Here is a 16,799-nt window from a genome sequence, read left to right as displayed (position 1 = left end):
TTTCTCACATAACCTAGATATCTCTCTGTTCACATACCCCCCTCAACTTCTTCCTCAACTCTCTTCTTCCTTTTATCACATGTCCTCTGTCTGCCTCCACATCTTTGTTATATACTTTTAAAATCCAGCATTTTGCTATGTGCCAACCTATGTGATAAGCACATTCCATGAAAGATCTCATAGAATCCTCAACAAGCCTGTTAATTGGTACTATTATACTCATTTTACAGTTGAGGGAACAGAGGTTGAACAAACATTATCAAAATCACACAGTTAAAATGGCACAACAGGTTCAAATGGAAGTCTGTCTTCTGAAACTGACTTCTTAAGCAGTAGGCTGTATGCTCTTCGTTTGTTTTGAAATCTTCTGCCAGCTCTATCCTGTCCTCCCATTCTGCTGAAATGATCAACTTCAAAATTTGTCAATGGCATAAATCCAGTGGATTTTCTCAGCTGTCATTTTCCTTAACCATCTGTTGCACTCATCACTGTGGTATGTATTTGGAGAAACGTTTTCTACCCTGGCTTGTGACATTGAACTTCCTCCTGAACTCCTTGTCTCTTTCATTAACTCATCTTCTTTCTCCCACCTCCAAAAAGTGAGTGTTCACCAAAACCCAGGATTTGAACCTCTGCCATTTTTATTCTAGCCAAGTTCCTTCAGGGAACTCAGAAATGGAATAAGTCAAGATGAGATCATTTTTTCCTTATTTTTAATTGCTCTAAGAGATAACTGACTAACTAAAGTAAAAAAAAAATAGTAGCAATATATTATCAGTTTATTTATGTAAAAGTAACAGGGAAACACGAGCACAAAGGCTGCATGGAAGGAATTGAGAATATACTGTTAGCAGCTCCTTCCCTGTGTGTGACTGGTTATTTGAAGATAGATTATGGTTAATTAAAGATGTGTATTGTAAATGAGATGACAACTACTAAACAATTTAAAGAAATCTAAATACTAAGTCAACAGAAGAGATCCAATAAAATCGTAAAACGTTCAATTAGCAGAAGAGAAGGCAGAAAAGAGGAAAAAAATTAAAAGTGTGGAACAAATAGAAAGCAGCCAGCAAAGTGGCAGATTTTAATCTAACCTTTTATCAATTGGTATATCCGTTCCAATTGGCTATGCTGATATAAAAACACACTTCGAAATGAATAATGACTCCAACACATAGATGTTTGTTTCTCACTGATTTAACAGCCCACCACACATGTTCCTGGTAAATGAGTGTGTTGTCTCCTCCAAGTGGTCATTGAGGAACTCAGGCTGCTTCCACCTTGTGGCTCACCACTCCCTAAGGCCTCAATGTCATCTGCGTTTGGCTATTAAAGAAGAAGAATGCTTGTAGTCTCTAAGAAGACTGGTTTTAGAAATGGCCTGTTTCACTTTGCTTGCATGCCATTGGCTAGACTGTAGTCACATATCCATACCTAAGTACAGGGCAGCTTGGTAATATCAGCTAGCTGAGGGTCCTGGAAGAAGAAACAGATTTTTGGTAATAAACTAGCTCTATCTGCCACAGATAAACAGTTCAGCCACAAGGTTAGAAATTTTCACAATGTTTTTATCCATAAAAACCATCTTGGAGTTTGAAACAATAAATATACTTTACAAGAAAAATTCAGTTTCCTTTTTAGGTGCTACCTTTTTGCATTTTTAAATAGGACATCAGGTGATTCCAAAACTTAGATGATATCATTCTGAGAAATACTGAACAAGGCATGAGGGAGCCACTGTGACTGAAGCTGGATATGTTAACATCTGAGATGTTTCCAGGAAGATCTGTTGTCTCTTGCCACTCAAGTGTGTTCTGGGGGCCAGTAGTATTGGCATAATTCAGGATTGTAAATAATGCAGCATCCCAGGTACCACCTCAGACCTATTAAGTGAAACCATATGTTCATTACAGTTTCAGGAGCACTGGTCTAATTATTTTATGCCAAGATGTTAGAGAATGTGGATGGCTGTAGAAGTAAAGTGATAGGAGCATTATCCAATCAACAACAGGCAAAAGCAGATGATTCTGAGAAGAATCATCTACAGAATTTGAATGGAATTCAAGCCATGTGAGCCTGAGATAGACCAGAATACTTCTGGGGGTATGATACTGGCAAAAGAAGGAAATGACTATGAAAAAAAGTAGATAGACCTTTATTAATAAAGTTCATTTGTCCTAAATATATGAGTGGTATATATTTATTATAGAGGATTGGAAAAAAATCTAGAAGCACAAATAAATGGAACTATAGTTAGTATCCTTTTCTTTTATCTTCCATTTTCTCCTATTCATTTTTTCATATTATGTATTTTTGTATATATAGTACTGTTTATATATTTATATATTTATATTTTTGTATATATAATATTGTATTATACAGAAATATTTTACTATTTCATGATAGCCAATCTTATGTAATTTATCAACTCTGTCTCTATTTTTCAACATTTAACCTATGAACTTATTTTCACTGTTAATATTGAGTAACATTACAAAAAATATTCATCCTTGAACATCAATCTATCTGAATATTTCTGGCTGTCTTCTTGGGCTAGCTTCCTAGAAATACAATCACTAGGACAACAAATATTTACTTTCTGAAGTTGTTTGCTAATGTTGCTAACTTGTGTGGAAACTTTTCAGAAAGTCTCATAAGAAAAGGAAGCCTTTTGATTTGTCGATGTTCTTCTTCTAATTCACACCCTGCCTCCTGGAGTTGTTATATGGATTCAATGAATCAATGCATGTAAAGTGTTTAGTAATATGTCCGGCATATCGTCAGTATTTTGTTAACTATTAATATTGTGCAGTAGCACACAGTTGTTAAACCTGGATTTGCATTCTTACCTTGCCTCATACTAACCATATGAAGCAGGACATATCACTTGCCCTTCATGAACCTCAGTTTACTCATGAGTAAAATGGGCATGTGTTACTAACCACTTCAGGTTGACTTTGTGGAGCTTTATCATATGTGAAGCACATGGTACAATCCTTGTGAAAAAGTAAGCAATTCAGCAAATGTTTGCTAATAGTATTTATTATTTTTAGTCTTAAAGAAATTGAAAATTTTCTTGCTTTTTTTTTCCTTACTTCCTTCAGTGTACACACTCCCATTTCTATCTCAATTTGAATATGTCCAGTGAAGGTAGAAATATAATCTATCTCCTTTTGAAGGCAAGGAGGAGTGAAGCATTTAGGAATACTAGTTTTAAAGATGAGAAGTCTAATTATTTTGATTAATAATCACATTAGCTTAGTCATTCCTCAACATAGCTCTCTCTCTTTGCATCTATATATAATCCTATTATTTACTTACCAATTTTTATATATACTCCTGTTTACTAAAACATTGACATTATTCATGTAGGCTAACTGTTCATTATCTATGGCTTACCTATCACGTATATTATGTTCACAATACACATCAATGGCAAGTAGGGTTCTCTCTCAGGTGGTACAGTAGCTCATATAGTATCTATTTAGAGTCTTGGTTGAGAAGCAAACATCTGGGCTTATTGGAAATAAGCGTGGCCACTGAACTACGAGTAATACTTCATGTATGGGTAATTTCAGTCCTTTGGTAGAGTGAATAGTAGCTATGAGAAACAAGTTGAGAATAAAAATATTGGAAAATAAGCATATTTTGATATTTTATTCTATATGAATATTCATGTTAAAATGAATAATTTTCACTTTCAGAAATTTTATTTTAAATTAAATCTAACATTACTATAGATTATTAAATAAAATACTGATCTTAGGGGATAAAAAATGTAGATGACTTCAAAAATAATAATCCAGATCTAATTGTTTTTTGGGACTTTAGTAACCTCAATAACTAAAATTTTAGGTTTCATAAAATATTTTGAAAACATGAATATATAGATTAGAAATTTTGCAAGATGATTTTTTACTCCCTTTATTGTTGTATGTATTCATTTTATTTGGGTTATAAGACCATACAGCAACAAGAAAAAGTTGTGATGGTACTTTTAGTTAGCATATCAGCAACATCAGACCATTAGAACATCATACAGAATCAATACTCCCCAGAGCTCACCTAAGATTAGAATACAGACATGATATGTTTATGACATATCTACAGGCAATTTGCTCTCCTCCAGAAAAAGTTGCCACTAACATTTTATTCATTTCTCTCTGGCCTTAGGTCCAAGCACATATGCAGAGAGCTCAAGTAGACGGAGCACACATAACTGAATTCACCAGGTTTATGGTATCCTGGGCCATTGAGTTAATAGCTTTAATTGTGAACTTAGAGAAAATGAGAAGCCAAGGACATCTCAGTCCTTAGAGTTATAATTATATAAATGTATTTATATATGTTATATAAAAATATATTTATATATTATGTATGTTATAAATATTTAAATAAATATGTTATAAATATACATGTTATATATGTTATATATGAATATATAAATATGTATATAATTTAGAAAACATTGGTTCCCTGAGCACTAATAACAGTTGCTTCTCATTAGATAGTCATAAGCTACTTCTCAATAACAGCCAAAATATATAGTCACTTTAGTTTATAATGCTAAATTCTGTGAGCTACAGGACTTTTATTTATTCCAAGTCCCTGGCACAAAGAGTGTGCTTAATAAACACTTTTAAGTCAAAGGAAAAATACAAATATGCTGAATATATTGAACCACATTTTCATGTGTTCTACACCTTTAGTAAGAGTGTCCTTATTTTAAATGCAGAAAACCCGTTTGTTTGATAAATATAAAACTATTTACTATTTACAGTTTTGAGGGACTGCAACACAGTGAGTGGGGTTGTAAATGTTTGACTTTAACCTGGTGGATTTTGGTGCTATATTGCCACCTTGTGGTTACTCATCTAAAAATGGACTTTTCTTCAAAAACAAAAATCAAAAATAGACAAAACAAAGAATAACTGTTTTGCTTTTGTGATATATGGTGCAAACATAAGTTTGTGCTGTGTGCTTACACACACACACAGACATACAGTCACACACACACACATGCATGCACACCAGAAACCTGAGTCTGAAAGTAGTGACTGTGCTTGAAAAGGAGAGAAATGGAACATCTTTCCAAGAGTAATCCTTTAATGCCGAAAGTCTCTCATATAGGAAAATTAGCTAAGTGGCCTGTCTATTATTTTCAAACACACAATGATATGATTTCAATGGTTAAGTAAAAATGTCTTTCCACTCTTTATAATAAAGAACTAATAATAAAAAGAAATAATGTTTTTCTTCCTAGTTTTTTTCAGAGCTTGTTTACATCATATTAAAATTATTTCTGATGAAATAAGGTAGTAGATGTGAAGAAAACATACATAGTGAAATAAAATTTTCTTAGAAGATTATGACTAGAAATTTCCAAAGCAGCTCGTTTAGAAAAACGAGCATATAATTTAGTATAAGGATAACAGTATCATTGAGAAAATTTTTATTTCTGAGAAGAAAATTACACACTTAATAAAGTAGAGAATTTAGGGGAAATTGTATTAAAATATTTTTAAAGTACTGTGATTTTTTTAAAAAGAGAGACTTTAAAGGGAATTGATGCCTTAATATTCTCCTTTATAGGTCATATATCCTTGAATAAACTCTTTAAAATTGCTTAAACTTTAAATCCACATATTGCATTTAGAACTGAGTCAATTAATTTGTGAATAGAGCTTACTGAAAGAGAATCTGTGTCTAGAGCTAATCTGGTACTAGAAAATCAGAAAGACCATTTTACAAGTCCTCTTTTACTCAGATTATGTCTGCCTTCGCCAGAGTATGTTTGCAGATTAGTCCTGTAGTCTTAGATCCTAGAAAGATCCATTATTGCAAAATATGAATAAATTCAGTCTTGGATTTATTTACATTCATTTTCACTTATTTACAGTCATTTTACTACAGGTTAAAATTTCCAAAAACTTTTATATTTTACTTTTTCTACTTAGGTAGGTAATTAACATTCATTGTGGAGGCATTGGAAAACAGAATTAAAGTAAAATAATTTATCTGTAATCATAGCACCCATGATCATTACCATTAGCACTTTATATATCTCCCAAATCCTTTTTGCTTTTAGAAAATTGTGTCATGACTCTATGTACTGTTATAACATCTTCTAACCTGTTTTTCCCTTAATCATGCAGTTAAATAGCATCATCATTTTGTTTTCTAGCTACACCATAAAGCTATTCTCCATTGTGAGACATTTGGATGGTTCTCAAATTTTCATTCTTAAAAAACATACTGTGATGAGTCTTTATATAGATATATGTGTGTGTGTTATATATCCTATACAAAACCAAGATACAATATACGTCACCCATATGTATTTATTTTTATCTAGTTATTTTCTAGGATTTGTTAAATATTTCTAGAAAGGACTCTTTGATAAGGAACTGTTGGGACAAAGAATATTGACGAGTGAAGACTTATTACTAAATAATTGCTCACCCAAAGAATTCCAATTAACTGTATATTCCTACTCATTTAGGTTTGACTGTTTACCTTCAGTTCCAATAACACTCCCTTTGTCATTGATATTTATTGAACTATAATGTATATATGGAAATGTGTACAAATTATAAGCTCAATGAATTTTCACAAACTGATACTATCAATGTAATCAACTCAGTTCAAGAAATTTATTACCAGCACCCTCGAAGCTCTCCTTGTGTCTATTTATATTCACACTTCAAAGATAATTATTAACCTCTCACTGCTTTGATTAGTGTGGTCTATTTTAGGACTTTATCTAAATGAAATGACGTATGTCTTCTTTTGAGCCTGACTTTTTTCAAGCAACCTTGTGTTTGTGAAATTAGTCCATGTTGTTGAAGTTGTAGAGTGTTTTATATATTTGAGCTCTATATTATACTATTTCAATGCCAGTATTCTTTTTTAATTGTTGTCAGTCTGAAAGTATAAAATACAGTGTTACAGTTTTCACGCACAATCTTTGATTTAATGTGAGGTTGAACTTTTTTTTTTTTGGCTTCACTGGTTATTTATATTTGCTCTAGTGTGACATTGGTCATTTATTGTTCCTCTGTGGTAATACTGGTTTCTCTATTGTAAATAAATCTTTCACTCTTGCCCAAGCAATAGGTTACATTGGCCTTTAGTTACAAAATAGAAGAATGACTGTTGTTTCCTCACTCTTTCCCAAAAGGCCAATTAAGACTAAAAACTGTTGTTTTGACAAGGTAACAAGTTTCCCTTCTGGGACTCCTGTAGTTGCAGGGTCTTGATCCTCAGTAGCGAGAAAAGGAACATGATACGTGGATTCCAGATCCCAGAAGTGAATCATCCACATTTCGGGCTGAAGCCATTTCTCATCTATCCGGCTGATTCCTCTGACTTTTGCTACTTTATACTTTTTTGGGTATTTTTTCAAAACCTGCTTTTCTTGAAATGCTGACCAGTCCTGGTTAACTGTTTGCTGCCCCAGGGTACAAAGTTTCTCTAAAGTTAAAGCTGACCCATACCCCGGATTGATAAAGGGTGAGATAGATAAGAAACTCTACTTTAGGGATTTGAGAATCACTGGATAAGAGGAGATTCTAGGACAGAGATGATTCTGGTTTGATTAATTTAGGGAGAAGCTTAGACATTAGTCATTTGAAAAGGGCTCCAGGTGATTCCAATGGGTTGACAGGATTGAGAATAATGGAAATTTCTGACTCCTAAACTGATACATTCAGATCCACTGAATAGATCAGTTTTAACCTATAAGTAAAGAAATGCCCCTGCCTGTTTATATCATGGCAGACTCCCAGAGACGGGTCAACATCTTAATATTTGTCTTTTCCAAGTACTGAACAATGCCACAAATTTCACTTCTAAAGTATAATTCCCCATTCTTACTGCTTTGATTCATAGTAAATGAAAATTGTCCTAAAGGTACCAGTATTTTACTGCTGAATATGACTAAGCTTGTCAGATCATTATGTGAGAAATGTTGTGGTAATGGAAAGAAAGCAATAGAGACCTTCTCATGTTGGAGAGTATAAGAAGAAGAAATGGAGGTAGAGAAACAGTCTATCCTTTGTAAACTTTCCTTAGGTCCCAAAGAATTCTAAGGCTTTTTAAGGACTGTAGTTCTTCCTTTGTGAGATTTTGTAAGTATCCTTTTCAGTCTTGCAAAGGAAACTCTAGGCAAGTGGTTGAAAACCCACAGTCCCTTTGGCATGCCTAAAGGACACAGGAGCCAAGTGAGAGAGCTCCCAATGGCCAAATGTTGAACAGTTTGAGCAACAAAAGACATAAATTGGTATTACGTTATAACCCAAAGTGCAAAATAATTACCTATAATTAGCTATGAGTCCTCCCTAATATAAATACATGTTAGAATAAGTAAATAAATGAGAATGGACAAATTTTCCATACAGAAGAATTCAAAATTTTTGTGTAGATACTCCCCATTCTTTAAGTGTGAGCTACGCATAGTGACATTTTTCCAAAACGTACAATACAGAAAGACTGTGGGGAGACTTTATAGTGCAGATACCTGGCAGACACCACCTCAGCCAGACAAGAAAAGTTAATACCAGCCGTCATAATTTATATTGATATTATATATCCTTGATATAATGCTTTCAGGATGACACTTTACCTCTGTGGTCTTCTCCCAAAACTCTATAACTCCAGTCTTAACAGGAGAAAAACTTAGACAAACCCAAGTTGAAGGACAATGTACAAAATACATGACGAGCACTTTGGGAGGCTGAGGAGGGGGGATCACTTGAGGTTAGGAGTTTGAGGCCAGCCTGGCCAACATAGTGAAACCCTGTCTCTACTAAAAACACAAAAATTAGCCAGGTGTGATTGTGCGCACCTATAATCCCAGCTACTCAGGAGGCTGAGGCAAGAGAATCGCTTGAACCCAGGAAGCAGAGGTTGCAGTGGGCCGAGATAACACCACTGCACTCCAGCCTGGCTAACCGAGCAAGACTCCATCTCAAAAAAACAAAATAAAACAAAACAAAAACATGACTTATACTACTCAAAATAGTTCGGAGAAACTGTCACAGCCCATAGGAGGCTAAGGATACCTGACTACTAATGTGGTATACTGGTGAGCTCCCAGAACAGATAAAAGACACCAGTTTAAAAATGTCTTTAGAAATGTCATTTTAAAAGTCTAAAGAAATCTAAATATTGCATGGATTTTAATAAAAACTTGCCAACATGTGTTCTTTAGTTATGACAAATATACCATAATAAGATCTGACAAAGAAGCCAAACTTCAGTCAGATTTCTAAAACTTCTCCTAAGCCCACCTCTTCATTTCCTTGTAAAATCCAGTTTTAGCAATTCCTACTAAATTAGCTTAACAAGAACCCCTATAGTCAATATCCAAATGCCCGATCTGATTAGGTCTCTCCTCCTCTACCAACCCGAAGGTCATGTCTGATCACCCTATCCTGTCTTCTGCAAAAATCCTGGTAGGTCAGTTTAGCCAGAATTCCTTTCACTCCTGATGTTTTCTCCTAGTAATTTTTAATCCACTGACCCCCACCCCACTCCTTGGCTATAAATTCTCACTTGCCCATGCTGTATTTGGATTTCAGCACAGTCTCTCTCTCCTGCATTGCATGTGGTCCCTGTACCTACTGCAATGTTCCTAAATAAATTCATCCTTGCTGTGCTTTAATAAGTATCATTGAATAATGTTTTCTGTAACAGATGTTAACCATAGAGAAAACTGAGTGTGCAATATATAGGAATTCTGTTTTATCTTCACAAATTTTGTGAAAATCAAAAACTATTTTAAAATTAAAAGTTTATCAAAAAAGTAAAGAAGGGAAGGAAGGCAGGAAGGAAGGGAGAAAGAGATTCCCACATGAGCAGCAGCTGTCAGAATCTTGTCAAAATTTAAAATTCTCAAGTCGCAGCCCAGACCTTCTGAGTCAAAAACTCAGGGAATGTAGCAGTAACCTGTGATTGAGAAACATGATATAGTTGGTTGGAAAGAGCTCTGCTTCCAGGTGCTTCTCATTTTAAATGTGATCATGTTACTTTTTCTTTAATGCCCAAGAGTGAAGAATCGGATTAGGCTTTACTGTATCTTCTGATTACCGAATTGTTACCTTTCACAGAGGAATGGCATGCCTGCCTCTGTTCTTCTCATATTATTAACATTTGAACTCCGGGGCCCTTCTCAGACCCTGTTGTACTCATGTCTTCCATAACTTCTCCGGTACACAGAGAGCTCTTCCACCTCTGATATCCCCAAGTGCATAATCATGTACCAAATCTCATGTTTCCAGAGGCTATAAATCAAAGCAGAGTGTAGATTCCCTGGAGACAGAAGATTTCACCTACCAGATAGTGACCTTGGGTAAATTGTTTATTCCCTCTGTACCTGAGTTTTCTTTCTGAGAACTGGGGATGATACAAGAGTATCTACTTCATGGATTTTGGGGAGAATTGTGAATTAATACACATAATTTGTTAATAACAGCATCCAGCACTTAGTGAGGAACCAATAATGTAAGCTGGCGTTACTGCTGGTGGCAAGTGTTTTGTCTCTTAAATATTTCTTCCTTCTCCCAAAGTAGTGGAGTTTTGTGTGCAAAACAATGAATGTCTCAATAAAGATTTGGTGAGTTGAATGGGTAAAGTGAGCCCACAAAACCCTATTTCAAACCCAGTGACTTCTCTCTCCCCTGCCCTCACATACCAGTCATCTAAGGCATTTTGATGTTGAAGTAGAATGTTGAAAATATTTCATGTTGCTTATAAAATGCTTTTAGAATAAAGTTAGAGAATTGGATAATATGTGAAAATCTGGAGTAAATTAACCTTACTCTAAGCTTCACCACCTACAGTTGAGCTGTTACCAACGAACAACACCATTTTACTTTTGATCAAAGATTATTCTAGCTCCAGAGAGCCTTAGCAGAATTTCTGTTAGCCTCAAAGACGAGATTAGACATAAAAGAAATAAGCACCCTGGGGACCATTCTAGAGGCCACTGGGTAAGTGAATATATTTGAATAACCAGTTCAGATTTTGCTTATTTGCAGTTTACCATAGGTTAAATAGAAATGCAACAATTTACATGCCATAAACACACAAGCTTTAGGTGGTTTGGTTTGTTTTCCAGATGGGAATTAATGTGGTGGACTCCGCAGTATCCGGATTAGGTGGCTGCCCTTATGCAAAAGGTGCTTCTGGGAATGTAGCCACTGAGGATTTGATATATATGCTTAATGGCCTGGGGCTCAATACAGTAAGTTACTTTAACGTATTTTAATATTCATGCATTCCTTGCAGCTCCAAATTGCAAAGCTTCTAAGATGTGGGAAGCAATTTTGAGGTCAAAGTTTTACTACACTTTTGCTATTTGCTAAAATGCACAGTGGGAAAATGCAATAAAAATTCTTTTGGGGTCTTTATAAAGTAACTCATTGCTATAGCTCAATCACCAATAATGCTACCATTTCACATTTTTATAGTGCTTCATGACCTCTAAAGAACTTTTTCATGTATTATCTGATTTGATTTTATACACTTTGTGAGTTGGAGCCTGTGTCTTTGCTGTTACGATTGTTGAGTTTTGCAGTTTTGTTTTTTGTATGGATGTTTTTCTTGGAGAAAATGGAGATCTTGATTGTCTCAGTGACAACTGTAGCTTCTGGAAGAACTCCCAGGGCACTTTTTAAATGATCAGTGAAAGAGGGGAGCTTCATAACACTTAGCATATGAGACACTGGATGGCAAGAATAGTCTCTTTGCAAGTTGTACCGGAAAAGTCACGTGCTATGTAACCACATCCACCAAATTCAGCACCTTGTTTTGCCCTATGATTGTTAACACAACCTGTTAGTCTATAGAACCGATTTATTTAGGAAAAAAATAAAAATCACAGATGATTAGACATTTAGAATTTCTGAGATGTAAAATAATCATCTGTATTGTAAAATGAATTTTTTTACTCTCTGCTGCTCCTATTCCTCCTTTTTCCTCATTCTACTTACATTAATGCTCCGGCTGCATTAAACTTGCTTCTAGTCTACAGTTCTGTACCATTTTATTCCTCACTTCTACTCCTTGCTCAGGTTTTCACTACCATGTGAAATGGCCTTATGCCTCGTATTCCATTTGGCCTGGAAAGTAAGACACCACCATCCTAAAAATAAGCCGTCTGGCATCTCCCTGCCTATCCCCCAGGTCAAACTGTTAGGTCCCATTCCTTAGTGTTTTCATGTTTTCCTCTGAACTTACCACAAGGTTATATAATTATCTTGTTTATGTGTCTATCTTCCCATGCAACCACAGAGCAATTATGACAGCTTATTCATACTTTATACTTGGTGCCTGTGGCATAAAGATGCTCCATAAATATTTATTGAAAGACTGATTTCACTTGGCACTAAACACCAACAGCTGTTGCCCATAAACACCAAAAGCTATTGCCTATTTTCTCTGGTTAGAAATAAATGTTATTTCATTTACATCGTATCTTAATCATTTATATCAGAAGCTAATGACATAAATGAGGGTAAATAGCTCCTTTCTTAGAAATTTAGATGACTGAATCGAACTCCATAGCTGATAGCTGATGCTTAATATATGCCAGTTATGTTCCATAACTCTGGAGTCCAAATGCAAATAAATCAAGTTTATTCCTAAAAATTTCAACATCCAAGGGTTGCTACATTGAGTAGCTGCCACAATTCAACTAGTCACCCAAGGCAACAAACCAGGATTCTCTATAGAATTTAATCTCACTATGGATTCCATGTCCAATCAGTTACCAAGAGCTGCTAATCTGACTTTAAAATATTTTGGTTGTCCTTCCCTTACTACCTCTGCTATGACTACATTGATGCAGGTCTGCATCTCTTTCCTGGGTGTTCATCCTATATACTGGTCGCTGGCTCCAGACTTGCCTTTAAAATCTATCTTCCATGCTACCATCAAAGGGTTACACCTAACATATAAGTATGAATAGGCTCTACGTCTGCTTGAGCAAGGATCAGTGGATTCTAATTTCCTGAAAGGAAGCCTGTGCTCTATCACATAATCTGGCCTATTATTACCTTTTCCAGGGTTAATGGTATATTTTGCCTTTATCCATATACGCCATGGATATTTAAGATATCTTGGACTGCTCTTCTCTCTGCCTGCATACAGTGCCCCATATATCCTCCATCCTCTTTTATACATTTTGTATAAACCTCAGGTCAGGCTTTACCCTTCTTGGCACTTTTCCCTGACACATTCCTTTCTGCATTTTTTTTTCCTCAGTGGGTTGATGGCCTCATATCTCTGCCTCCGTAATAACCTGGGCATATCTCTATTTGTGGCTTTAACTATGGTACAGAATTTTCTGTTGTGAGTCCACATTGCTTGCTTGAACTTGAAGGCAGAAACCACATTCTACGTGAGGTTCTTGAAACTCCAGAATCTATCATAGTATACGAGACATATTTAAGCACCCGACAAATGATTTAAGAATACATGCAGTGTTGTTTCATAATGATATCTACTGGTTAAATAAAATGGTAGAGAAAAGCCAAAACAAAATTCTTCTTTGGTGCGATATCAACAAATTCTACTGTATAATTGTGACAAATGGACTTACTGAAAAGAGAAGAAAGACATTAATGACAAAAATCTTTCTGTCAACCCTTGCTGGATGTAATTTATAAGTGAAAGGCACCTGAAGTTAATTGTTTACAGAATTTAAGTATCATTGGATTAAGGATGTTAAACAGATACTCCACGTAAAGCCGTTACCACGACAAAACCAACTTTCTCAAACCAAAGCAAATGTTAGTATCCTGAAAACAACTTTGTAATAAAAAGACATCATGAAAATAATTTACAAGTATCACTTTACAAAATATTTTTAATTCTTAAAGAGATAAGTAATTAGCTATATCGAAATGTCTCCAATTTCTAAAATGATATTCATTGTTATGAAAAGCCCCTATGAGTTTTTATACTTGTCTATTTTATGAAAGTGACAAGTTTTCATAGATATTAAAAAGTACTTTATAATAGCAAGGAAAACTGAATATTTTCAATTTTAAGCCCACATTGTTTCTAGTCCATATTGAGGGGGAACATAGAAGCTTATGAAATGCCACATAAGGGCAAGTTTGTGCTTAATCCACTTAATGCTTTGCCTCCTCCGGTGACAACAAAAGTGCTGGGTGGAAACTTTGATAGTGACCCTTTCCTTACACTAAAGCCAAGAGCATGTCCTGAACTTGCCCTTTATACCCAGCTGCATATCTGTCATCCATGGATTTACCTGAGCTTTTGTTGATCCTATTTATACTTTCAGACAGTACAACCTCTCAGGCGAACAAGTTCCAGATGTGTACTAAATACCACTTCATTTTATTTCACTTGCAACTACCTCCTTCAATATCATACTAGTAATAGTATTTCTGGCCTTGGTTTAAAAAATATATATGTATATATATGCATACACCTTTTCTGTAATCCTTATGGCTTTTTCAAGTTTGTTTCTTTATATAGTAAAGAGGATAGTTTTTTTTCTAAGTCAGTTCTTATCTATAAACTGCTCCAAAACATTATTTTGATTGTCCTTCGCTGATGCTTTGTTGACTGCTTTTCTAGTTCCATTATTGTCCTTCCTAGACTCTAGATACCAGCCTGAATTATGATGTTTTTCAAGTGTGTCTACCTATATTATTATACAAGGGTCAGATTAAAGATATGCTGTAATAAAGCAGACAAATCTAAAATGTTAACAACATTATTCATGGAAACAAATGTTGCCCCAAAATTGATAATGACCAACACCACTTTGTTTAGTAATTTTAAATGGTTAAGTAACTACTAATAAAATTTAAAAGGCTATGTTTTATCTTTTTTCTCTCTAATCCCTCTGCCTTCCTGATATTCCTTCATTTCGTCACCAGGGTGTGAATCTATACAAAGTGATGGAAGCTGGTGACTTTATTTGCAAAGCTGTGAATAAAACCACAAACTCTAAAGTAGCACAAGCCTCCTTCAATGCTTGACTTGAATGGATTTATGACGTACCGTTGAGAAGATCAATTTCAGCTACAATACTCATCTGAAAATCATTAATGCCAACTTGCTCTGATATGTGAAGTAATGGACAAGAGTGGGAAAAAAGAGATCCTTTTCAAAAAGATTATAACTGGATAGATTAAGTCAACAAAATGCAATATCAGTCATCAGGTAAATTGCAAGCTGAGGATAAATAATAAAACTTGTCATAATTTTGAACTTGGAAAAAAGTTTCTTTTGCTCTCATAGAAATAACTTTTTAATTTAGTAGATGGGAAAATTGACTTCGTATTTCCCCAAGTATCAAATACTGTGTTAATACTTAATCAAGCAGGCTTAACACTGTGTACATATTGTCAGTAGTTTATGAGCTCCTGCATAGTATGCAGAGTGTGTGGCCTCAATATTATACATTATGCCTCTGGATCTCAACTACTCATTTGCCAAGTCAGTTATGTTATGGACCAAAAGCCAAATCTCCATCTGACCCTACATAATTTTAGCAATAGAACTTTTATATTTCAAGTATGGCTAACATCTGTTAACTATTTCAGTGACTTTATCTGGTTCCAAGAGGCTGTGGCCAATGGCAAGATGCCATATCCTGGAAACATATTACGACCTCCCATGTTTGTTACATGCATCCAGTTTACCACACTTTACCTGTCATCAGTTATAGTAAAAACCAGCATGGTGTTACTCAACTATTGAGAAATTGTAAGCTATTTTTTTTTGTCCTGATGTCTAAATTGCAGTGATAAGAATAGGTTGATACATGTATCATAATCTACCTTTATAATTTTCAGATCACTTTCAAATTGCCCAAGGAAATATTGTGATCCTAAGAATATTAAGATAATTTTAGGTTAATGAAATACCCATTTTCCTTTTATTCATGGTGCTTTGCTTACCCACATTATTTTTTGGTGTATTTTTTAGTGGTTATTTTAGAAGTTGAAGTGGCTGAAATTTTGTCTATTGTCTTAGAATTGATTGCCAGAAATTGCAAGATGTAATATATCAAAGTCAGGGATGAGGAGCAGGAGGACTATTCAAGATAAACTTCTGTAACCTATGCATATTTTATGGGGGCAGTATTATTACAAATGGATCTGAAATGTCAGTTCTAGTATTTAGAGAGACTTCTCTAATAATACCGGGTGATATTATCTTTGAGTAAATTTGAATATAAATTGAAACATAAAAATGAGTATTGTGAACTTTCTAGGAAATATTCATTAAAACCATTGAAATAAAAATAAATTCAAGAAAGTAAGAAGTACTGATTATGTTGCATGGTTCTGGAGCAGGAATACTGAGAGCAATTCTCTGTTTTGGGCTTAATGTTTGTGGGTTGGGGGAAATGCAGGGAGCAGACAAAAATCAAAGCTGGTTATGAATCTTTTTCAGTTACATCTCCCTGTGCATCTCTCTTCACGAAGCACATGACCCTGCACACTGGCAGTAATGGGACACCTGCAATTAGCGTGTACAACTGGATACGTACCCCATATTCTGAGGAGACTGACTTCCTATCTCTTACAATGCTATGCTGTTCCTAATTTCAGATATTTGGAAAAGCATCTCTTGTTACAAACTGCCCATAGTAACAACTAAGGGGATGATGGGAAAGCATTGCTGTTTTGAAATGAAAACCATGGACTTTGAAAGACAGAGCAAGTAGTCAGAAACTCCAAGTACAGTCTACAGCACAGTTACATAGCATCCATATCAGTGTACTGAGTCACTTCCATGAATACCTTGATGCT

At 34.9% G+C, this 16,799-nt stretch overlaps 1 protein-coding gene across 9 annotated transcripts in view; it reads left to right on the top strand.

The window, feature by feature from the left end:
* Window positions 1–16,306, top strand: part of HMGCLL1 (3-hydroxy-3-methylglutaryl-CoA lyase like 1) — a 244,547-nt gene extending 228,241 nt beyond the window's left edge. For all 9 annotated transcript variants that reach the window (NR_109869.2, XM_047418902.1, XM_047418904.1 and 6 more), the window contains 2 exons: window positions 11,120–11,245; window positions 14,916–16,306. Coding sequence is in view for 8 of the 9 variants with exons in the window: in XM_047418902.1 (XP_047274858.1) it covers window positions 11,120–11,245; window positions 14,916–15,017 (228 nt within the window). In the remaining variant the exon portion in view is untranslated. The remainder of the gene's footprint in view (window positions 1–11,119; window positions 11,246–14,915) is intronic.
* The last annotated feature ends 493 nt before the right edge of the window (window positions 16,307–16,799 follow it).

Source organism: Homo sapiens, chromosome 6, assembly GCF_000001405.40.
Source record: "Homo sapiens chromosome 6, GRCh38.p14 Primary Assembly".
Classification (NCBI taxonomy): Eukaryota; Metazoa; Chordata; class Mammalia; order Primates; family Hominidae; genus Homo; species Homo sapiens.
The sequence above is the reverse complement of the archived record's forward strand: the minus strand, read 5'-3'. Positions and strand labels throughout refer to the sequence as shown.